Below are 25,695 nucleotides of genomic sequence, written 5' to 3'. Positions count from 1 at the left end.
TTTTTTTCTTCCATTTTCAAATGCATCTTGATCTTAATATTGTGTTAATTTTTTTTAATAAATAGTAATTTTTACTACAGAGGTTTTTTTAAATTTTTTTTTGGAGACAGGCTCTTGCTCTGTTGCCCAGGCTGGAGTGCAATAGCATGATGGTTCACTGCAGCCTCGAACTCCTGGGGCCAACTGATCCTCCCATGTGAGCCTCCCAAGTAGCCGGGACTACAGGCACATGCCACCACACGGGCTTGAGATTTTAACCATGTAAAGGCAAAGCCATCGACACTGTACATTTGAAGGTAGTGAAGTGAAAAGTTTAAAAAGAATCTTCTGAATGTCTTAACATTCTCTGGTATCCACTATAAGTCAGCCCAAGCATGAATGATCACACTAAATTATATTGTCTGCCAAATCTCTTAAGTTATCATAACTCGTGTGTGTGTGTGTGTGTGTGTTGCCATCTTGGCTCACTGAAGCCTCGACCTCCTGGGCTCAAGCAGTCCTCCCACCTCAGCCTCCTCTTGGCCCATTGAAGCCTTGACCTCCTGAGCTCAAATAATTCTCCAACCTCAGCCTCCCGAGTAGCTGGGACTATAGGCACAGACCAGCATGCCCATCTCACAACAACTTTTTTGAATAATCATTAACCAGAGTTTTGTTGTTTGTGGTGATTGTTTATTCAAGAATATTTGGAACAAACATCCCTGCTTAATAGTTACTAGTTAAGATCTATATTAACAAATTAGTTTTCTCTAACAAATAAACATTTAAATAAGTTCAAAATAAAACATCTTACTATAAAACAAACGAACACATTTTGTTTTGTAAGAATTTAATGTGTAAATAAATACAGAAAAACAAGCATTACAGCAACCAGTTTTGCTCATGATAGCAATTTTAAAGACACTTCAACAAATACTTTTATGTAAGAGGCTAATTCTGCAAAATAACATTCACTTTCCTATGGAATAATTTCACAGTCCCAGATTTTAAGCCAGAAAAATGAGACTCATGCTGGTAAAGCAACCTGCAAATCCTGCTTGTTCTTGCAACTAGTATACTTTAACATTGTAAAAGGATCTTTCAAAGGGGGAAAGAAGGCTCTTAACGGTACCTCCCAGAGTAAATCCTTGCCCCAAGGGGCTGCCCTGCTATCTGCAAGACTAAAATGGTCATGACAAATTCAAAGCTAAAAAAAGAAATAACCTTTATCTTCAGTGTATTTGCCTGGTTCAAGTGGTTATCTGCAGATTTATAAGTAGGTAAATAGAACAATATTGATAAGATTTCTGAAAACTAAATTGTATTTGGCTCTGGTACTAAGGAGTTGAGAGAATAAAACACCTATGTTAATTATCAACCGCAAATGACAACTTTTTGTGAGGTTTCTATTCTAAGGCTTACTTTATTCGTGTATTCCATTTAGAATCTTAAAATTTTTTGACAACTTCCTTTAAACAAGAAGTAATTCACAAATGGTTAACACAGCACTAAACTAATAAGATAGGTCCTCACACCCATCTTGAATTATTTAAGAAAGTATTGCCATTGAAACATCTTTTTCCTGAGAAATTCATATTGCAGAATGGCACAAGACAATACACATTTTCTCCAATTTTCTGCATGAATACAAGATAGGAAAATCAGATTACAATATATTTTGTGAGGAAAACATGTTTCTTAAAATTGTGCTTTCAGTTACTCTCCAAACTACAAATTTTTAGAGGGTGAGAGCCAAATGTAAGTTAAGAAGTGATCTTTAAGGCAAGAGAATGAATACATATGGTAAATTTTGGTTGGTGTTTAAACAATTTTTATAGGAAATTGTTTACGAGTGGAGAAACTAAGGCACAGAAACAACCAAGCTCAGGTTCAAGGTTGAGTTTAATAGTATAGGTAGAAATAGAATCTAGGGATCTGATTCTCATATTAGAGGATAATATCTCCCCAAAGGGGAAAAATAAAATTATTTCTTTTGGTAGATAACATTGATAAATCATTTTTGAAATATATAATATGAATTTCCTTGAAAATCTTTGGCATTTCTGAGAGTCTTTGTAGGCTGAGGTTTTTAGGTATTTTTTCCCAAAAAATATATAAAGTTAGGGGAGCTAGCTTTAAAGTTAAACAACAAAAATATTAATATTAATTTCAAAATGACCTGAGTTCATTTTGCATTTTTATATAAATCAATTGTACACTTGAGTACTCTGAAACATAAAAGGCCACCACACTTCACTTCATAGAGTTCACACACATGCATTCTACATATTTATATGACCAGAACTTATTTCACATTTACATAAAGTATAAAATAAAATGTCTTAGTCAAATTTTTCATAAGCCCAACTATTTGAAGATGTCAGTTATTACAGTGGGATGATTAATTCATATACAGTATTAAGTCTCAAATTCAAGTATTATAATATTCACCCCATGTGAAAGTTTCTTTGTACTGGCTAAGATGTGAGCTGTGAAATTTATATTGCTCAGTTTGGTATTTTTCCCTATGTGTATGTTTTCCATCACAAAACCTCTGTCTCACAATTCTGTACTTGTAAGAGCTCAGGTAGGTTTATGTAGTCATAATGCAGTAGTCTAGAACACACCATGTAAAGGTAAAAAATAAAATTATTTTCAAGTTTCTTTGTTTTTAAAGTGCTCCACGTGCTGTATTATATCAACTTTCAGGTTATAGAAATCCATTATGACTAGCAATAGTTTTACAAAAGATCAGCAGTTAAGCAAGAATGATTTGTTCAAGTATGTATACATAGATTAAGAGAGCAAAAATTCTTTAGGCACATTCATATTCAAATCATACAAAAAAACCCATGAGAGTACATAAGAGAGATGGCAGAGGTGTTTAGAAGGAATGTCAGAGTGTCAGGGAATAATTTTTAAGGTAACTAGTATGTAAACTCAAAGTGGTTTTGAATATTTTGGTAACAACTATTTGTCCAAAACAACAGAAACAAGTACTTATTCCTTATCAGAAATAAAATACAAATCAAGTCTGTCCAAATGTTCAGAAGCTGCATCATAAAAATATTTTTTGAAAAATTTCATGCCTAATAGGTTGCCTCATCCATGTTGTCATCACTGTCTGCGCCAAAATCATCTCCATCTTCAAAGTATGAATTAATGTAGTCATTTTCCTAAGTGAAATGATATATTCCTTTGTAAACGTTAAAATGAATGAGTAGTAAGAAAATATTCCAGGCCTAAAAGTCTCTGCTTTTTATCTGCTTCAAAAACACAACAGTTTTCACTTGTGTTTACCTGTGCCGCTTTCTTCCTTAAGACCACCACCTTCCACTCTTGTCAGGCACTAACTAGCTAAGAGAACATGAAGGGTTGCCCATACCATCTCAATAGGATAATATAGCTACTAACACATTACAGCTTACTGGGATGATACATAGTTTAGTTAGCTAAACCACTAAACACTTACCCAAAAAATGCACAGACAAGAAAAAAAGCCAGTTTACATTAACATCCATTAGACTACACCAGTACTGAGATTTTTAGTCATAAAACATAACTAAGCATAAGCCAGAAAGACTTTTACTTCCTATTAAAAAAAAAAAAAAAGGCATGATACCAAACCAAATCCAAAAGATGCCTATATTATATTCTATCTAGGACCTCTTAGTTTCTTTTTCTTGTGGCTGAATAAGACTATCATCCATGCAAATAACTCAGAAAATATCTGTGCTTTCTATCAAAAATTCAAATATTACTTTCTTATTTATTTTTCCGGGCCTCCAGTATCTTACAATCAAAAATCCACTTTGGATATAAATTAAACCTAAGAGTTATTAATCAGTTGCAATGTATGGATTGTATTTGGATTCTGTTTGGAACAAACAAACTTTTTGAGACAACCAAGAAAATTCAATACTGGCCAGATATTTGATGAAATTAAGGAATTATATTTCATTGTATGGGGTGTTATAATGATACAGTGATGTTGTTAAAGAGCCCTTATTTTTGAATCCATACTGACATATTTGTGGATGAAATGATACGATGCCTAGGATTTTCTTTGGAATCCAAGGCACATGGGGCACGGGGAATGGGATGGGTGGACAGGGAGGGATTGGGTAGATGAATGAGTGGTTGAAAGATTAGCTATGAATTGACCATTGTTAAAGCTGAGTGATAAGACCATGGGTGTTTCTTTTACTAGTCACTACATTTTTGCACATGATTGAGATCTGCTATAATAAGAAATTAATGTCCACATCTCTACTATCTATAGTAAGAAATACAGACTACTCTCAAAAGAAAGTCTCCTATCAATTTTACTAATTTTTTTCCAAAGTTTTTTTTTTTTTTTAAATCTGGATAGTGGGATTTTTAATATATTTACATAATGCAAGAAAGGTAACATGCATTATTCACTGTATATGCATTCTTTAGATAGTTATCTCATTACTTTTTCTTCCCTAGATACTTTAAGTTTCTGCATTCAGCTAAGACCATTCCCATCTCTGGAAAGTTGGCCTGGCTTTTCTGGTGCCAAAAAAATTTGGCAATATTTAGACACCTGGGTGAAGCTTGGGGCCTGTGTACCAGGGGAGGGTGGCATGGTTGAGAGTTCAAATGAGGTCTCATTGTAAAGGAGACCTTTGGCAAGAACACTTGTGTAGAAATAAAAGTAAGCCGATTTGTACATAAAGTGGAGATGAATAAGGAAGGGATACTCTAGTATTCCAAATCAAGCATATGTCACTTGTGTTTTAGACATGAGTACCTCCTCCAAGTTCTGTTTAAGTGATTCAAATTTGGTAATTGTGTGACGTTAGTAATCTTTTTTTTTTTTCTTTGAGACGCAGTCTCACTCTTGTCACCCAGGCTGGAGTGCAGTGGCGCGATCTCGGCTCACTGAAAGCTCTGCCTCCCTGGTTCACGCCATTCTCCTGCCTCAGCCTCCCGAGTAGCCGGGACTACAGGCGCCTGCCACCACGCCCGGCTAATTTTTTGTATTTTTAGTAGAGACGGGGTTTCACCGTGTTAGCCAGGATGGTCTTGATCCTGAACTCAGTGCAAGCAGACATTGTCAACAGAGCATTGCAAATGCCAGTCTTGTCTAGAGTATTGACCACACAAACTAGAACCTATAGCACCACCACCCTACTACCCCCATGGCAGTGTGACAACCAAATATATCTCCAGACACTACCAAATATCCTTTCAAGAGTATTGAAAACCACTGGTTTACAGCAATAAGCTTTCAAATATGACCCAAACTTGGCTCTTCCATTCAAAGCAACTGAGCTTTCTAAAATATAAACATGATTATACCATTCCACTGTTTAAAACCCCTCAATGCTCCCCACAGTACTCAGGATAAAGTCAAATTTCTCAGCTTGACATTCAAAGTCCTTAATGACCTGCTCATCTCTCCAGCTTCATCTCTCAACACAAGCCCACTTAACACCCTCTAGTCCCGCCATACCGATTTATCTGGTCAGTTAAATTAAGAAGCTACACTCCCATCACCTGCAAGCCTCTCTCCATGTTCTTTTTTCTCCCTGCAAGTGTCCACTCCATTCCATGTTCCTATCTTGATCTGATTAGCTCTTCAGATCACCTAAATTGTCTTCTTTGAAATATCATCTTTGATATGCCTAAAATAGACTTTGGTGTGCCCACAGCATCTCTTATATGCCGCTATAGCATCCGGTACTACTGTATCACAGCATTATTCACTGTATATTAACTGTTACCTTTTTTGTCTCTCTAGTAATTTCCCTGAGAGAAGAACTGTATCTTATCTTCATATTCCCATTGCCTAGTACAATTCCAAGCATATACTTAGTGTACACTTACTATAGGTTGAATGAAAAAGAACTGAGGAGTTACATGTTTATACAGGGTAACTATGGGGAGGGATGCAATCAGAGAGATTACAGCAAGAAAAAGAAGCCCGAGGGAAGAGCCCTGAAGAATACTGACATTTAAAGACTAGAAAGAACTCCAGAGACCATAAAAATGTACCAGAAATAGGAGAAAAACGAAAAGCATTATGTAACAAAAATTAAGGGAAGCAACCATGTTTGTCTAAGACTTGGCAATTAGCACAATGCCTGGCATATAGAAGATGCATATAATTGCTGTAAATTGTTGAATTTAAATAAAGGAAATCATAAATATATATATGTTGCCCAGGCTGGAGTGCAGTGGCACGATCTCAGCTCACTGCGACCTCTGCTTTCTGGGTTCAAGTGATTCTCCTGCCTCAGCCTCCCAAGTAGTTGGGATTACAGGCACCCGCCACCACGCCTGGCTAATTTTTTATTTCTAGTAGAGACAGGGTTTCACCATGTTGGCAAGGCTTGTCTTGAACTCCTGACCTCGTGATCCACCCGCCTTGGCCTCCCAAAGTGCTGGGATTACAGAGTGAGCCACTGCGCTTGGCCAGGAAATAATATTTTAATAATAGAGCTGTCAGAAGTGTTAAATGCTGCAAAAAAGTTAAGTGACATAAAGGCTAAAATTTGTCTATGGTGAGCGTGGTAGCAATAATTTCTTTCTTTAAGCTACTTCTATTTGTCAAAAGCAATTATTTGAATAGGATGGAGGTGAAACTAAGATTGAAAAGAGCTAATGGTGGGGGAGGGGGAGGGGTGATGACAGCTAAAGAAGCTTTTCAAGAGATGGCATGAGGGAGAATGTGGACAACATATTTTACAATGGGAAATGAACATGTTTTACAATGGGAAATGAACATTCATGAATGGAAGAGACAAGCAGAAAAAGAGGTTAAAAATATGGAAAGGGAAATGACTGGAGGACTATGGTTCCAAAAAAGGATAGGGCCGTTAGCCCCAAATAGGATAAAGGGGATTTCCTCCCTTGATTAAAAAAAAAAAGAGGAGGAGGAAGGAAGACACTGAGTTTGAAGGCAGAGGACATGAAATTTAATAGAGTTTCCTCTTGATGACTTCATTTCCCGTATGAAGGTATTATCACCTGCTAAGAGTGAAAGAAAAGGTAGTAAACAAAGGGAAATAAGAAGAAAGAAGTTGATCAAAAATAATTGCTGTAGAGAGCTGACTTAAAAACAGAAAACATGTTATCCAGCAAAATGGGGCTAGTGTTTTTTGAGGGGCATCAATTTCTGTGATTCCCAAGAAATGCTCAATAGGTCAGATTTGAAAGGGAAAATAGGTAGAGAATGGAAATGATCAAAGTTGGCTTTGGTCTAGTGTGTGCGCTGGGAGGACAAGAGACAATAATGGCAAAAAAGAAGATGAAGGGCGAGCAAGGGTCTAAGTTTCTTAGAAAAGAAAATTAAAACAGAGAACCAATAAAGGGGAAAGAGATGATCAGAAGTACTGACAGTTTCAATCATGTCAGAGAGCAATGGAAATAAAAACATGAATGATCTGAAAAGAAGGCTGGAGACAAATGTGATCTACCACAAATGTGACATATTTAATTTTTAAATGTTTAGACTTAAAATGTATCTGAAAGAATAGACAGAATATTCAGGAAAATTGTGAAAAAAGAATAGGAAGGAAGACATACCCTACCAACATTAACAAATAATCAGAAGCTTCTACTACTTGCAACAGCTTAGTGTTGGTTCAAAATAGATCAATGGAACAGAGAACAGAAGTAGAAATGAGAATCTAATAGCTGATACCAGAAGAATTTCAAAATCAACGAGGAAAGCAAATTAAGAAATGAGGTTAGCAGCTGGCTAGCCACTTGGAAACAGATAAAAAATGTATCCACACTTCTCTGTTTATACTAATACAAATTTCAAAAGAATACCAAATTTAATGCAAAATAATTATAGTAAAGATTTCATAGTTGGAAGTTTCCAGAGAAGCAAAATTTGAGAATGTGGTATAAGAGGCTGAAATGGAATGAAGACAAAGGTCACCAGAATGGAGAAGAAACTCTCCACCTAGGGTTACGGTCTGAGGTGTCTACAAAGTCCCGAAGAGGCTGTGGTCTGCAAAGTTACCCTACTAAAAATACCTGATTGACTCCAGCTAATTCTGAAATGTACTATGTGCATTTCATTCTAAAAGTTAGACATCCCAAATGGAAAACACAGAGTCCTGACTCAGCCAGATACCTGAGGTTAAATTATCAATCTTCTCTGATAGTATCCACATGCACTTTGGAATTTGAAACACACTGCAGGGATTCTCCTCTAGACCTAGGTGGTTAAGCCCTCCGTTACCTGAATTGCTGACTTAAATTTTTATGTTGTTAAATCTTAACTGCACTAATCTGATCAATCTCCTTAACTTGCAGATTTATACTTACAAAGTTGCCAATCATTTTTATTTCCTATATTCAATTTGACATCATTATAATTTCAATGCTATAATAGTTCTCTCGATAGCAAGGAAGTTCTCTTGATAGCAAGGAATCGATGCCATTGATAATAATATACTTCTGGTTCCCATCATCTTGGTTTCTGTTTATTGATTTCAATACATACTCTATATCTGATTCCTTATTAGATAAACCTTATTAATTTTGCTACCATCCCCAAATGAACCATTACCTCTTCTTGCTCTTCTTCATCATATTCCTCCTGTTCTGCGGCATCATCGTCATCGTCATCATCACCTTCTTTACTTTTCTCTTTGCTTCCTTCTTTCTCTTCATTTTCCTCATCTGATTTTTCACCATCACCTCTTTTTTCCAATTCCTGGTATAAGTGAGTTTCATTAATTTGTATGGAAACCACTAGACTGCTGACTTCCCTGCTTAGCCTTAAGGGAACAGTTATCTATCACCTTATTCTACTCCCATCTTACCACCACCTCCTGGCTACCACCTAGGAAACTATGAGTCAACTCAAGAAAGAAGGAATTTACTGTCTCACCACTAAACCAGCATTTTCTTTGATTTTGTTACTTAATAATTGGGTTTCAGATTAATATTGGGCTTATCAGCTCTAATGCACAATGCTTTATTTTTTATAATTTATCTCCTACCTTCTTTTTTGAGAGAAAGTCTCGCTCTGTCACCCAGGCTGGAGTGCAGTGCCACGATCTCGGCTCACAGCAACCTCCTTCTCCTGGGTTCAAGTGATTCTCCTGCTTGAGCTTCCTGCGTAGCTGGGACTACAGGTGCATACCACCAAGCCTGGCTAATTTTTTTAGTAGAGACAGGGTTTCTCCATGTTGGCTATGCTGGTCTCAAACTGCTGGTCTCAAGAGATCTGCCCACCTTAGCCTCCCAAAGTGCTGGGATTACAGGCATGAGCCACAGTACCTGGTGGTCTATCTTACCTCCTTCTAAAATATTTGAGGTGACTTAGTTTATGGAGAACTTTTAGAATGTTATTTTGTTTTCCTTCTAACATAAAAGGGGAAAAATAAGGTAATAGTATTATCTCAAAATGTCTATGTTTCACTTTATACATGAGGCCATTTAATACTATTATTATAATAGCAAGTCATCCTGGGTTAGATTATCCTAGTTGCATTTTATCTGTGTCTTTATCTTTTTTCTCTCTCATTATTTACTTCCTGTTGCCAGGAATTCTTGTTTCTTAATATATCTGGCAGATTGAGAAGAAAGAGAGAAATTAAAACTCAAATCACAGTCAATACTAGCAATTATTAGGAATTCTAAAAGAGAAGACAAAAGAGAGATGCAGAGTTAGGAAAGCTTTGATTCCATGAGAGTCCCACTTATCCACAAGTGGAACCATCAGGGAATAGTACACAAAATTAACTTTAAAATTACATCTTTGTATTTCTATTATGACTACCAACAATTTTTTTCATTTAATAAAAAGTGACTTATTTTCATTACTGTCACTATCTGTTCACTAAATTGTACTATGCTCAATTTGCACATATGATAGAATTTCACAAGTTTTCCAGGAGTCAATAATTTCACATATTAATACGCATAATTAAGGCATAAGTCACCTCAGCTAAAATGTGATTATTCCTAAACAGAAATTGGAATACTAATGCATGAATCTGCAAACACTCCATCTCTATTATAAGGTATTTGCTTTGTAGATTACATATAGAGAGAAAGCAGATTTTATATCTGGAGTAACTACAACTTAGCTATTCCTTTACTGGTTCTTAAACGCTTATCTTTAAAAATCCTTGTAATTAAATTCAAATTTGAATTTAAGGAAATCAAAGACAACAGAGAGACTACATTAGATAGGCTCAATTTCTAATCAAAATTCAAACTCCACCTTTCCTGTCTGCTTAACCCACTCAGGCAGAACAAATAAGACCAAGGTAACAGACATAAGATGATTTATCTTGATACTGACTCATATGTTGTCTTATATGAGTTATTACTACAATATGATGTGTGCAATTTTTCCAACTGGCAATCCCTTTGGAAAAGTGCAAGTAAAGAAAATCGTGCTTATGGATCTTTTGCAGCATCTATAATAAGATATACACACACATATTTGATGGTATGTTAATATTATATTTTTTTACTATTTTAATCAGATCACAGTAAAAAGACCTGCAACCAATAAGTTGTATAGTTAATAGGAAATTGTAGTGCCATATTTATTTAGCTCTGTGCAGGGTACACACTATATCTAAAAAACATGCTATTATTTTATTTTTATAATTAAGAACACAGTTATTTAAACCAGTTATGTAAAAGTACTTTTTTTTTTTTTGAGATGGGAGTCTTGCTCTGTCACCCAGGCTGGAGGGCAGTGGTACGATCTCGGCTCACTGCAAGCTCCACCTCCCAGGTTCACATCATTCTCCTGCCTCAGCCTCCCGAGTAACTGGGACTACAGGCGCCTGCTACCACGCCCAGCTAATTTTTTTTGAATTTTTAGTAGAGATGGGGTTTCACTGTGTTAGCCAGGATGGTCTCGATCTCCTGACCTCATGATCCACCCGCCTCGGCCTCCCAAAGTGCTGAGATTACAGGCGTGAGCCACGGCGCCTGGCCAAAAGTACTTTTTAAATACAGTATTCATTCAGTGCCACATAGGAACCAGGAAGTCTCTATTTCTATTATTGCTACCTCAAATACCTTTAAAAAAAAAAATCCTCATCTTTATTTCCACCACACAGATCTAAATCAGACTCATAAAATAGGTTAAAAGTAGATTTATGCAACTTTTTAATAAAAATTGATCTCAAAGCCACATATATTGTCTCATTGCTTCATTCCTTTTGCATTAAGCTACTAGTTTCAGCTCTTCTACTTACTAGTCTCCATTTTCTCTCCTGTTGAGATTTAACCATCTAACTTTACTACTTTACAGATTTAAGAATAAAATGAATAATATAAAGATACTGAAAACAGTGTTCAATTATGGACAGAGAGCAGTTCTTCTGGTTTAAATATTATACAGCCTTACAGCCACCATACAGAGCCTCCTGTTATGCAGAAATAAGAAACCTCAGATATTAGTTTACCACTAATTACTCACACATTAATCATGAGATTTGAATGTATGTCACTCCCTCTCCATCCACGAATGCTCTATTATAAAAAAAACTTGGAACTGCTTTTGCTGAAAAAATCAGCAATAAGAAAGTCATCTGGGAACAACTTTTGCTCTTCTAAACTCATTGGTATTTCTAGATTTAAATTTCCAGTTTTTCCAGTGTGTGTCCTGAAAATTGTGTTTAAATGTAGACAATATGGAAACACAGTTTGTTACACGGAGAAACCCAGAGGTCCAGATCAATCTTCCTTACGGCACATGTCATCTTAGCAAGTTTTCTCCAGGAAGCTTTTAGAATAGCCAGAACCTGAGTTCAGTCAATACAAACTGGCTAGAACTGCATTCCCATCATTCCGCCATAGTTAAACCTGACAGTTATCACTGCTCCTTCATCAGTACTCTGGCTTTATTTTTCAGACATGTTGTCTCTAACTCCAGTACTGGTCAAATAATAAAATAAAAATATGAGTTTCCACTACCAAATAGCTGTGCCAACTTGGCCAGGCAAGTAAAAATTTTAAAGCCTTGACTTCCTCATCTGTAAAGAAGGAATAATATCCACCTCTCCTTGTTGTTATGAACTCTTATGGACATAACATATGTAAAGAGCTCATCAAGGAGGCTGGCACAGAATAAGTTTCAATAAAGTGTTAGCTGTTACTGTCATCATCATCATCACCAAGGCAAGACAATGCATGCATTGATAACGGTAGTAAATTGGTATAACCTCCATAAAGAGCAATGTAACAATAGCTATCCATTTCATACAGTGCACATTTATGTACTGACCAAATACTTCTAGAAATCTACCCTACACAGGTGAAATGACATACTTAACATGAATTCATTGCAGCATTGTTAATAACAGCAAAACACTAGATGAAACATAATGTCCATATATCCAATTATGTAGGATATTAATTAAATAAATTACAGTTCATTTTTATAGTGCAGCCAAAAAAAAAAAAAGAAGGATGAGGTAACTCTACACAGACTTATATGGAACCACATCCAAGGTATTCAGTTAAGTGATAAAATGAAAACGCAGAATGTAATATGCTATCTCTGTCTTTAAAAAGAAAAAGAAACCTCGTATTTGCTATGTATGAAATACTTCTGAAAAAAGACATAAGAAACTAGTAACATTGGTTGTCTATAGGAAGGGAACTGGATGACTAGGGACAGGAATAGGAGGGAAAATTTTCAGTGTTTTAAACTTCTGAATCTTACATTTTTTATTTTTGAAAAATTAAATTTTTAAAATTTTCAGTGCTTTAACCTTCTGAATCTACATTTTTTTATTTTTGAAATATTTAGATAAAGAAAGCTATAAAAATAAGTTCTATAAAATACATTTTTCCCTCAAGAGTCTTCAATACTTAAGACCAAAAAAAAAGCATTAAAACTGTACATATTAACCAACAGGAGGAAAAATGAGAGGTTTTTAAAAGAGTTACATATGTAACTCTTTTTAAAACTTGTTCATGTTTCTCTCTGCCTGCATGATTCAAATATAAGCGGAAAGGGGGATACAGTGAAAAAGAAAGAGGTGACAGAAGGTGAGGTAAGTGGCCAGGTGAGTGGTAACGAAGGACAGGACAGACCCTCCATATCTCCCAGCCTGCAAAGTTCAAACCTTCCCAGTTACCTTATATGTTGGGCTCGCTTCTGCCAAATTTACATTATTAAAAAGTAAGAGAATGCTGAAAGGTTGAAACAGAGCAAAACGAGGTAGGATCTTTTACATTTTTTCAGTTCACTTGTATAGTAAGAAGAAAACCTTACCTCCATTTTTTTCAACACATCTTCAGTATTAGTGAGTGGTGTGCCTTTGCCTGCGTCTTTTGCCTTTTTGGGTTTTGGGCCTGCTGAAGTAAAACTACCAGTTAACACATTTTTCTGCAACTGCAACTCTGTATTATATTTCCTTGTCTTTGCGTATGCTGTCCAGCATCGTGCTACTGCATCCTAGGCAGTCACATAGTTTTCAGAGTAAATTAATTTTCTCAAAGAATAAACAAATCATACCTCACCAATTTTCCAATGATGATGAATAAATGATAATCACGTAGTAGGATTTTTTTTTTTAAGACTGAAGTTAACTATATTTTTTACTAGTTCTGAACATTGGTACTGGCAATTAATATCATTAGGGCCAAAACTGCTAAAATGTTGCCTCAGATAGAGAAGTACCAAGAGTATAGTGAAAGGCTCCCACAAATCCACCTGCACTGGCTTCTCCTTCACTGGTAAGTGTACTTCATTTTAACCAGAGGAATCTTAGCAGGTGTGTAAAATAAAAAGGAAGTGCAGGATAAATATTCCTTTCAGCTTTAAAGTCAACTACAGATTTGTGATCCTCTAGGACATGACTGGTATCATTCATGCACATGTATTTTATTATGAAAATATTTGCCCAATAAAAACCAATGGTATAAAAGACAGAAGATAAACTGCCATATCTCAAAATTCTGCATTCAAGCTAATTATGATTATATACTGTATCTTTAAAATAAAATAAAAATACTTCTGCCTTAAATATATATGTGCAAAAAATGTAAAGTGTCTGTACTTCAAATATGTTCATTTACCAATGGTGAAAGAGATGACAGTGCAACACAGAAGTATCTTTGGAATAAAGATTAAAATAAACTGAATATACTCATCATATGAATCTGAAAACTCAAAAGCATGTAAGTGAAATAAAATGTTGTAATGGCTTTGGGCTACATAATTATTTTTTTTACTCCTATCAAAAATATTGCATTTTGAGGCTATTCTGAAAGTGCAGGGTCTAGAGAAGTATTTCACATATAAATTCTGCCAGTCAGTTACCGAAGCAATATGATAGGCTACAAAATTGTCCCATTGTGGTCAAAGAGTATTACAGCTCTTTTCCAAAATAAAGCTAAACACTTAGAAATTACTTTGTAAGAGGAAAATGTGGCTCAGAAAGATGTAATTTTGTTAAAGATTAACATTTAACCTACAAAAGAAAATTTTTAGATTGTGGTAGATGACCCATAACTGATGGAATTACAATTTACTGTGTTATACTGAATTGCCCCTTGGGGAATTACTGAGCTCAGAGCTCCCAAACATATGTATTAGTGAGGTTTCTCAAACAAAAGTAATAGTTAGATTTAATGATGGGTAACTTTCTCTGACCCCCTCGAGGGCAAAGACTGTTTAATATGAACTGTAACACATAAAATATAGCATCACATATGAACAAGATCTCAATAAATTATTATAATATTAATGCCAAAAAACATTAGCTAAGAATGTATTCTACTTACATCATGAAGTCTTTTTCTAAGAACTTTTTATCAAATTATTTAATTTCATAACATAAACCTTTGTTGAAGGGATACTAGAGAATATGGCCAGGTAAGTAAACTTATTTTTTTTTTCCATCTTTGGCCAAGTATCTGCATATATTTGAATAGTTTCTTTTAACACATGGCAGTAGCTGGTTCTTCAAGAAACAACTGTTTTCAGCCTTTGACTCTGTTGTTACTGTTTACTTCCATGTAAATTAATGGAGGACATCTTAACATAAAGGACAGTACAAGCTTATCAGAAACAAGACATAAAAATTACACAATATGTAATAAAAAATACTAGAGCAAAATGAGAAAGTTTCATTGTTGCTTTGTTTATTAACAAATGGAAATCCTGACACTTTGGGAGCTTTTACTGATTAATGTGGGTATAAAATCCCAGGGATAACATATTTGAAAACATTAACTCTTCCAAAATGAACACATTTTTCTCAGCTTTAAAGTCAACTACAGATGTGTGATCCTCTAGGACATGACCAGTATCATTCATGCACATGTATTTTATTATGAAAATAATATATTTGCCCAATAAAAACCAACGGTATAAAAGACAGAAGATAAATTGTCATATTTCAAAATATTCTTTATGCAAGCTAAATATGATTATATACTGTATCTTTAAAATAAAATAAAAATACTCTGCCTTAAATACACATGTGCAAAAAATGTAAATTGTGTATGTACTTCAAATATGTGCATTGTATTGTATGTCAATTATATCTCAATAAAGGTGTTAAAACGGGGAATAGGAATTCCTTCTCTTCTCTTCTCTTAGTTGATAACCCCACTGTTCTTAACCTCTCTGACTACCTTCCTTTTTCACTCTTCATTCTTCATAGCAAAATTCTAAGAAGACTCATCTATGCTAGCTGTCTCCATTTCCTAAGCTCCATTTACCGGTTAAGCCATTCCAATCTGGATTCTACCTCAGTGAATCTTTCAAAAAGCTCTCACTGAGGTCACAATAACCAACATGTCAAAAACGAGTGAACATTTTCCAGTCTTCGTCCTATCTGACCTCTTAGCAGCAATGTCTAACATCTTTTAACATTGTTGACCACCTTCCGAAATACCAGACTACCTTGTGTAACTCTGCTCTCCTGGTTCTCCTCCTCCCTCTCTCTTTCCAGTTCCCTTCTTTGCCATTCAATCTCCTCTACCAGCCCATTAAATGTTGGCATTCCTGTAAGCTCAGGGTTAGGCTCTCCTTTCTTCTAATTATCTAATTCTGCCCTAGACCATCTCATCCTTTCTCTTGGTCTCAATGATCATATCTCTGATAATGACTGCTATCTCCATTTTGAGGTCCATTCCCCTGTATCCAAGAATATATTTAACATTTATATTTGTATATTTCAAAGGAACCATAAGTAACATCTTTGAACTGAACTTCTGATTTTCTCTCACAAACCTGGTATTTCCCTACTTCCTCTCCCACAACTATGTCTCAGTAAACTCCTATTCATCCTTCAATCTCAACTCCAATTCCATGTCCTCAAAGAACCCTTCCCAATGAGGACAGTGTGTTTTTCTTTAGTGATTTTACCCCATTTGACTACAAGCTCCATGAGGACAAGGATTATTCCCACTTTGCTCAGTTTTATTCCTGTCAGCACAATGTCTGGCAATAATAGATAACTATTTACTGAATGAAATTACTAAAGAAAAACAAACTGTAAACATTCACTTTGGCATTCTTCTATACAACATAAAGCTCCATTTTATTGGTTTCCCAATTTTAAAATGTTTTAGTTAATAATTTATAATGTAGCCAGTATAATAAAAAATCTGCAGTTATGCAAATGAAAAGGTCTACAATAATTGAAAAGTCTTTCTTAGCAGCTCCACAATTCCATAACTAAAGGAAAATCCTAAGTGAATAAATGCAGGAACAGAAAACCAAATATTGCATGTTCTCACTTATAAGTGGGCGCTAAACACTGAGCACACATGGACATAAACATGGGAACAACAGACACAGTGAACTACTAAAGTCGGGAGGGGAGGACGGGGTGGAGTGAGTTAACAAACTACCTATTAGGTAGTACACTCACTACCTGAGTGCAATATACCAATGTAACAAACCTGCACATGTACCCCTGTATCTAAAATAAACACAGAAATTTAAAAAAAGATAAAACATTTAAAAATTAAAAAATAAGACATACACAAAGAAAAGGCAACAACTAAGAAAAAAAACACCCAAAAGACAAACAACAAAAAACAAGCTTTAGCAAAATAGTTATAATGCATATATATACACACACACACACATACATGGGGGGACAGAGAGAGGGAGAGAGTCAGTGTCCTAGACAGAGTGTCAGGGTCTTGCTCTGTCTTCCAGGCTTAAGTGCAGTGGTGCAGTTTAGGCTAATTGCAGCCTCTGCCTCTTTGGCTCAAGTGATCCTCCCACCTTAGACCCCCAAGTAGCTGGGACTACAGGTGCATGCCACCACACTTGGCTAATACTTGTTTTAACTTTTTGTAGAGACAAGTTCTCACTATGTTGCCCAGGCTGGTCTCAAACTCCTGGGCTCAAGTGATCCTCCCACCTCAGCCTCCCGAAATGCTGAGATTACAGGCATGAGATCCCTTGTCTGGCTCAAAATAAGAAAAGCATTAAGAACAGTGAGTATAACTTTGGGTTGACAAATCCATATTAACAGAATGTAAGAAATAACCTTTTCCTACCTGAATTACTATTATATTAGTCAATGTACCTTTTTTACATTTATTTCTTGGCATCATCTCTCTTGGAAGTCTTCTCCAATCTGTACATAAAATAAAAAATAAAAAATTGCAGTTTCCTCTAGGAATTTGTGGCATTGAACATAACTATTTGAAGGACACAACAGTTGTCCAGAAAATGACAATAAAGTGCCTTAGTATCTGACTTTACAAATTTAGCTTGAAACATATAAAAACCAAATCCAAATATTACAGACAATGATATATTTTCTCCTATAAAGAAAATTTATTACAATAGCTCTGAAATAGTGCTATAAAATTTTTGGTGAAGGAAACCTTATGGTAATTATTTGTGGGTGTTGGAATTATGACAGTTTTTCTTAAGTATTATTTATATTTATTTGACCACTTTATATTTCATAAGTTTTCTGTAGTTGATATATTCTGTAGTTGATATATTTCTTATGCAACAAATTTTTTTTTTCAAAAGGATGTTACCATAATCCCAAAACATGCAAAATGAAATAAACAATTGTAATATCTGAAAACTTTAAAATTAAAAATATAAATAGCTGTCAAAAACAAATCTCCTCCAATAAATAATTTTGCTTGTATTAGCTAAATAATTCCTCTAATGTGTCACTTTCTTTTAATTTTTAAGCATAGAGTTAAACAGGAAATGGAAGCAACATAAAAGTTGATTTAAAAATATTGCCTGCTTTTAAAGAAAATTTGGAGCATTTTTACAAAGCATTTAAATCTCAAGTCATTTTACCTGAAAAATAAATTTTGCTTTGAATATATTTTAGTTTTTATAAGCTATTCATTTTAGATCATGACGGAATATGTAGAGAATCATTTGAGAGATGAATACTAATGAAACGGAAGAAATGAGAGACCTAAGTTGTTTCCAGGGTGCCCCAACCTTACCAACACTGAAAAGATAGTACTATAATCTGTGAAAATGATAAGGCTGTTAATGCCATCTATGTTTTTACATAAGGGGAGTTTCCATAAAAGACCAAGGACAGAGACATAAAAAGAATGTGAATTAAAATGAGAAGACCTGGGTTCTAACAGTATTGGCCACATGGCCTGACAGGTCACTTTATTTCTATGACAACTGTTTTTATTTGCAAAATGAATGAGTGGGATGAGATCTCCTTTACAGACCCTTCTAACTTGTCCATACCCAAGGTAAAGCTTCTTTTTGGATATGGTTCTTTTGAAGAAGCCTAACAACTAAAACTAGTCTATGTCTGCTTAAAAGAAAGGAAGATCCATGAGCTTGGCTTAAAATATCTTTAAAACGAGATTTTTGCTTTCTCTTCAAATGCTCTAAAATTGCTCAGGAGCATAGTATTTGTGCTTTCTGGTATTACAAATTAAAATTGTGATTGTGGCTAATTAAATTGGAAAATTCAAAGGGTTTGTTTGGCCTGTCCTATTTTTGTAAAAAATGTATATTAAGGGTGGGGGGTGTTGGCTCATGCCTGTAATCCCAGCACTTTGGGAGGCTGAGGCGGGCGGATCATGAGGTCAGATCAAGACCATTCTGGCGAACACGGTGAAACTCCGTCTCTACTAAAAATACAAAAAATTAGCTGGGCATGGTGGCGGGGGCCTGTAGTCCCAGCTACTCGGGAGGCTGAGGCAGGAGAATGGCATGATCCCTGGAGGTGGAGCTTGCAATGAGCCGATATCGTGCCACTGCACTCCAGCCTGGGCGACAGAGCAAGACTCCATCTCAAAAAAATAAATAAAATAAAATAAAATATACATATATATATATTTTAAGAACTTCCACAAAAGCACTTCAACTCTTCCTTGTTTTAGCATAAAAATCTTTTCACCTTAGTTTCTAACAGATTACTAATTAATCACAATAAAAGAACCAGACTCAGTTTTCCTATGGTAAAAATAGAAAACTTATTCTAAAAAAAAAACATGAGGTGAGAGAGACAGCCTTTAAAAACTGTTTTCATATTGTGTGTTTTGTAGTTACCTGGTATCCATTCTTCCTTGTATACCTTCATGTATCTTTTACTATACCTTTCAATATCTAGGGGAAAAAAGAATAAAGAACTCATTAGGAAAATCAACAGTAACCCTGAACTTAAGCCATTCCTTTAAGATTATTGAAAACAACAGACAACATTTTTAATTTTACATACAGGGAGTTTCCCACCTTTGTACATAAGAGAATGGGAAAAAGGGTAGGGGTAGGCAAGGATGGACTTGGTGAGGGGTTACTGATCTGAGGCATAAATGAGCAAGCTGCAAGCCCTACATGCCAATTGCTGAAAACTCTGCAGGAACCCTCTGAGCTTGCCAAAACCAGTAAAGCCATAACTGCGGCTCTTGATTCAGACTAGTCCACCTTATCACAAGAAACACCCTTAAGGAGGGCACAAACTCTTTTCCAGCAGCACAAGTTGGAAAGCAACACTATCACACAAAAGCTTGAAGCCATGTTCATCATAAAAAGTAGTTCAGGAGTTAGGCATGAAAAAGGGAAGGTAATACTAAAGATGAATGGATAAAAATCAAGGACCAAATATATACTGATTTTTCTTCTATGTCAAGTATATGCTTCCAAATAATACAACCACGTATTAGAGAAAGATAACCAAAATAAGTAGTAGATCAGAGACCAAGAGATCAGGTTTTTCTAGGTATTTTAACTGTTTGACTTCAGGTAAAATGTTTTAACTAATCTTGCCAAGTTTTTAATCTATAAAACGAAGTCAGCACAAATGAGAGATTCCTAGAATTTGTAACACAATGACTTCTTTTTAAGAATTTTCTCCAAAACAGTTTCCATATTTTAAATAATTTTAACCCTCAGTATACCGGAAAAAAACAGTTTTTACCCTTTTTCTCTGGGTACAGTAGACCACTTTTTATATTTTAAAATATTTTTAAGTTAATTTCAAATAATGAAATACAGAGAATAAATAAAAAAGATAACAGATAAAAGAACAGATATTGAAAACCAATTATTGGAACCCAATTAAAAAGAGGTAAAGGATTTGAATAGACAATTCTCTAAAGAAGATACAAAAATGGACAAAAAGCATGAAAAGATGTCCAACATCACCAATCATTACGGAAATTCAAATCAAAACCACAATGAGATACTGTGTTACAACCACTAGGATGGCTAGAATAAAAAAAAAATAAGAAATGTTGGCAAGGATATGGAAAAATTGGAACTCTCATACATTATTGATGGGAATGTAAAATCGGGTGGCCACTTTAGAAAACTGTTTGGCAGTTCCTCAAAATGTGAAATACAGAGTTACCATATGATCCTATGTATATACCCAATATAAATGAAAACATGTCTTCACATAAAACATGTACATGAATGTTTATGACAAGATAACTCATGTAATCCCAAAAGTGAACTGACCCAAATGCCCATCAAGTGATGAGTGGATAAACAAAATGTGGCATATATCCATACAGTGGAATATTATTCAGCCATAAAAAGGAATGAAGCACTCATATGTACTAAGCCATGAATGAACCTTGAAAACATTATGGCAAGTGAAAGAAGCCAAAGACACATGTTACATCATTCCATTTATATGACATGGAATCTCTAGAGACAGAAAGCAGATTTCTGGTGCCATGGGTTGGAAGGAGGGAGAGTAGGGAATGACTACTAAAGGGTACAGAATTTCTTTTCTAGATGATGAAAAGCATCTAAAAAATTAGATAGTGGCTGGGCACAGTGGCTCACACCTGTAATCCCAGCACTTTGAGAGGCTGGGGCAGGTAGATTGCTAATAGGTCAGGAGTTCAAGACCAGCCGGGCCAACATGGTGAAACCCCATCTATACTAAAAACACAAAAAAATTAGCCATGTGTGGTGGCACGTGCCTGTAATCCCAGCTACTTGGGAGACTGCGGCAAGAGAATCACTTGAATCCAGGAGGTGGAGGTTGCAGTGAACTGAGATAATGCCACTGCATTCCAGCCTGGGTAACAGAGCAAGACTCTTGTCTCAAAAAAAAAAAAAAAAAAAAAAAAAAAAAAAAAAAAAAAAAAAAAAAATTAAATAGTGGTGTTGATTGCACAACTCTGTGGCTATATTAAAAGTCACTGAATTGTACACTTTAAAAAGTAAATTTTATATAGTGGATTATGTCTCAGTAAAGCTGTTACTTAAAAATCAATAAAACTAGGCCCAACACAGTGGCTCAGGATGTAATCCCAGCACTTTGGGAGGCCAAGGCAGCTGGATCCCTTGAGTCCAGGAGTTCGAGACCAGCCTGAGCAACATGGTGAAACCCCCATCTCTACAAAAAATGCAAAAATTAGCTGGGCATGGTAGCTCATGCCAGTGGTTCCAGCTACTTGGGAGGCTACGGTGGGAGGATCACTTGAGCCTGGGAGGTGGAGGCTGCAGTGAGCTGAGATTATGCCACTGCATTCCAGCCTGGGTGACAGAACGAGATCCTGTCTCAAATAAAAATAAATAAATAAAGTTATTGGAGATTTTACTAAGCAATTAAGTATAGCAAATCCAAATTTATATTACATGTTTTACTGATTTTGAAGGTAAATTTAACCAAAATGGGCAAAGTCATTTGAATGCAGTTTTCTGTGCATCGGCTGCCACATACAAACCTAGAATATATGCCTTCTGTACGTCCTGATCCCAGATTCCAAAGACATCTTTAATAGGTTCTAACTTATAATTTCCTCTGGTTTTCTCATATGTGTATCATCTAAATAATTTCAGATTATAAATGCATTTCTAGTAGAATCTAGCTTATCACTACTTCCAATTCTTCTTCTTGTACTTACATATCCAAAATGCAATACTTTAAAAAACTTTGATGTCTCATACTTTTTTTTTTTTTTTTTGAGGCGGAGTCTTGCCCAGGCTGGAGTGCAGTGGCACAATCTCGGCTCACTCCCAGGTTGACTCCACTCTCCTGCCTCAGTCTCCCGAGTAGCTGGGAGTACAGGTGCCCTCTACCACGCCTGGCTAATTTTTTGTATTTTTAGTAGAGACGGGGTTTCACCATGTTAGCCAGGATGGTCTTGATCTCCTGACCTCGTGATCCACCTGCCTCAGACTCCCAAAGTGCTGGGATTACAGGGGTGAGCCACTGCGCCCGGCTGATGTCTCATACTTCTATTGAAGAGAGGATGGCCCAGCCATCTTCTTTGCTCTATACTTGCAAAATATTTTCATTATTAAATTTATAATCACCAGTTAACACAATCAATCCAGAAAACAATTTCATGTCTATATAATCAATTTCCTTTCAATCATTGTTGTCTTTGCCTTTATGTTCAGCATTTGTCAGTTACAAAACACATCAAATTAATTTTGGTGCACAAATATCATAGAACAAAAATGATCGTCTCATTTTAGCAAACAGGATGTTCCAGGTTTTTGTTACAAAGTATTACATGATGAGTTCTTTTTCAAAGATTGACTGTAGAAGGCCACCATAATTCCTTTTTAATTCTTGGAGATACAGTGTTTACTCATTGATTCTTGAATTTGAGAAAATTCATTGAAGACACTGTCATCTGAAGACTCACAGTCTGAGATTTTGCTTATACAATCAATTTCATCATCATCATGAGCATCCAGAGAGCTATCTATCTCTTTGCATTTGACTTCTGATTCGTCTAAGAATTGTGGAACATGTTTTTCTGTCAATTTTAGACATTATGAGCAAAAAATTAAAAATTTTTGAAATTTTCAATTGTATTAAATGAAAATTAAAACAGAGCAACTACAAACATAAGAGTCTCTGAAGACTTTATAACTTCTTAAAAAACAGATGTAATGCTTTGGACAACACCATAGGAAAACTATATGATGACATAATAGTGATAATTTATTTGAATTGCACAGTCAATTTCATCATTCTCCCATTTTTTAAATTTATTCTTTTTTTCAGCATAGTGGGGAATGTCTGATGAATAGTGATGAGATAATATGTATGATGATAAAGTAGCAAGGTATTTCAATATAGAGAAAAAATAAGATCACTCAGATTCCATAATTATTTTAGATATATAAAAGGGTCCAATGGGCTGATATGGTATTCTATGATAAAATGAGTTTTCCTTTTTAAGAAAATGTCTGTTTCTTCTTTAGAAAACCTCTATGCAAGAATAAAAGTTATCAATATTAATCATACAAACAATAAGAACTGCTCCAAAAAAAAAAAACGTCAAAAATTTATATTGGGTCTCATGGACACTGATGGTATATCAAGAATTAGTAAGCCAAATTCCATTTATTCAGTAACAGACCTGTGGATGTATTTAAGTAAATGTATAATTTCCATTAAGCTTTGAGGTTCTGAAAATGACTTATGACACTATCACCACTGTCAGAATCATGTTTCTACTTCAGAGGACCCTGTGGTTCAGGAACCTGAGCTGGGAACCACTAGACTAGACGATCTCTTATAGCTAAAATTCACTAAAATAATATTCATTGGTGTTTTTCCTTTATTATATAAATAACAAATTTCGATGCAAAGAAAATACTAATCATTTCTATAATCCTACCTGAAAACATTAAAAACAAACTTTGAAGACATCGCAACATGAAATATGTTCATTCCATGCCATCAGTTCTTGAGGACTGATCTCAATGCCCTGAGCCACCAGCCACTTGACTATCAGGAAGTCTTGAGATCTCTCACCCTATTTGTCTGTCCTAGTGTCTAGTGATTTAGTTCTTTACAGTAGCCCTTAAGTCTCTGTTTCCTAAAGCACACAGGTGGTAAGTGATGCACCTGGCGAAGGTACAGTCATGCAACATCTCTATCCGGAATATGATTCTCTCTGACAGTAGGGTCGTTCTCTTCAGTCTGGCCAATTCTTTTTCACTCATAGCATGGATATTATATAAATTTATGTATGCACATATATACACATATTATATAAACCTATATAGGCACATATAAATGTATATATTTTATAGAAAAACCTTTATTTTTAACATGCGTGTGTTTTTTAAACACTATATCAGGAAACAGAGGTAAGCTGGGTGCGGTGGCTCATGCCTGTAATTTCAGCACTTTGGAAGGCCGAGATGGGAGGATCACTTGAAGCCAGGAATGTGAGACCAGTGTGAGCAAAAAAGCAAGACTCCCGTCTCTACAAAAAAAAAAAAAAAAATTAAAAGTTAGCCGGGCATGGTGTGTGCGCCTGTAGTCCCAGCTACTCAAGAGGCTGAGGTGGGAGGATCACTTGAGCCCAGGAGTTTGGAAGCTGCAGTGAGTTATGATTGTCCCACTGCACTCCAGCCTGGGTGACAGAGCGAGACCTCATCTCCAAAATAAAATATAAAACAATAAAATAAAAAAAGACAGAAGTAAACATGAAGATCTCAGGGAGAATGTACTTGTATCAATTTGGAAATTTCTATACAAGAGTTTTCCCCTGAAAGAAATAAAAGCAAAAAAAAAAAAAAAACCCTTATATTTTGAAATACTTTATTGCATAGTTATCAAAGATAAAGTGCCCCTTAATCCAAGTACTAGCCAACCACTCCCATAGACCAACAACAAAATTATGTTTTTAATATCCCTGTCTAAAACACTCACATAAATGCTTTAATTATATGATATACTTTTTTTTTTTGAGACAGAGTCTCACTCTGTCACCCAGGCTGCAGTGCAGTGACATAATCTCAGTTCACTGCAACCTCCACCTCTCGGGTTCAAGCAATTCTCCTGCTTCAGCTTCCTGAGTAGCTGGGATTACAGGAATGCACCACCATGCCTGGCTAACTTTTGTATTTTTAATAGAGACAGGGTTTTCCCATGTTGGCCAGGCTGATCTCGAACTCCTGACCTCAGGTGATCTGCTTGCCTCAGCCTCCCAATGTGCTAGGATTACAAGAGTAAGCCACCGTGTCCAGTCTGATTTGACATACTTTTAAATTAGACATGTGCTTTAATAACAACCACATTCACCTAAGTGCATCTGTGTCATAGAGAAAAGATCAATTTTAAAAGCACTAAAGTATACCCTGCATTACTATTTTTTCTAATAAGAATGAATACTGATTAGTTCATTTGGTCTTACTTTTTAAAATCTTTAAAATGAAAAGTTTTATTTTAGAACTCAAACAGACGAAAGCATGCAACATCATCATGAGAGTTAAAAATTTCAGTATTAGGCCGGGCATGGTGGCTCACGTCTGTCTGTAATCCCAGCACTTTGGGTGGCTGA

The 25,695-nt window shown here is 35.5% G+C and overlaps 1 protein-coding gene across 12 annotated transcripts in view; it reads right to left on the bottom strand.

Annotated features, from left to right (window-relative positions):
• Window positions 1-650: 650 nt before the first annotated feature.
• POLR3G (RNA polymerase III subunit G) overlaps window positions 651-25,695 on the bottom strand; it is a 40,629-nt gene continuing 15,584 nt past the window's right edge. For 5 of the 12 annotated variants that reach the window (NM_001370354.1, XM_011543101.4, XM_017008957.3 and 2 more), the window contains exons 4-8: window positions 19,475-19,531; window positions 17,502-17,552; window positions 13,220-13,302; window positions 8,534-8,680; window positions 651-3,155 (exon numbers count right to left, since the gene is read on the bottom strand). In NM_001370354.1, the coding sequence (NP_001357283.1) occupies window positions 3,069-3,155; window positions 8,534-8,680; window positions 13,220-13,302; window positions 17,502-17,552; window positions 19,475-19,531 (425 nt within the window). In that variant the 3' untranslated portion in view covers window positions 651-3,068. Of the gene's footprint in view, window positions 3,156-8,533; window positions 8,681-13,218; window positions 13,303-17,472; window positions 17,553-19,474; window positions 19,532-25,695 lie in introns of those variants that run through there. The other 7 variants (XM_047416634.1, XM_047416635.1, XM_047416633.1 and 4 more) reach the window with 3 other exon arrangements.

This window comes from Homo sapiens, chromosome 5, assembly GCF_000001405.40.
Source record: "Homo sapiens chromosome 5, GRCh38.p14 Primary Assembly".
NCBI classification, from domain to species: domain Eukaryota; kingdom Metazoa; phylum Chordata; class Mammalia; order Primates; family Hominidae; genus Homo; species Homo sapiens.
This window is presented reverse-complemented; position numbering and strand designations above follow the sequence as displayed.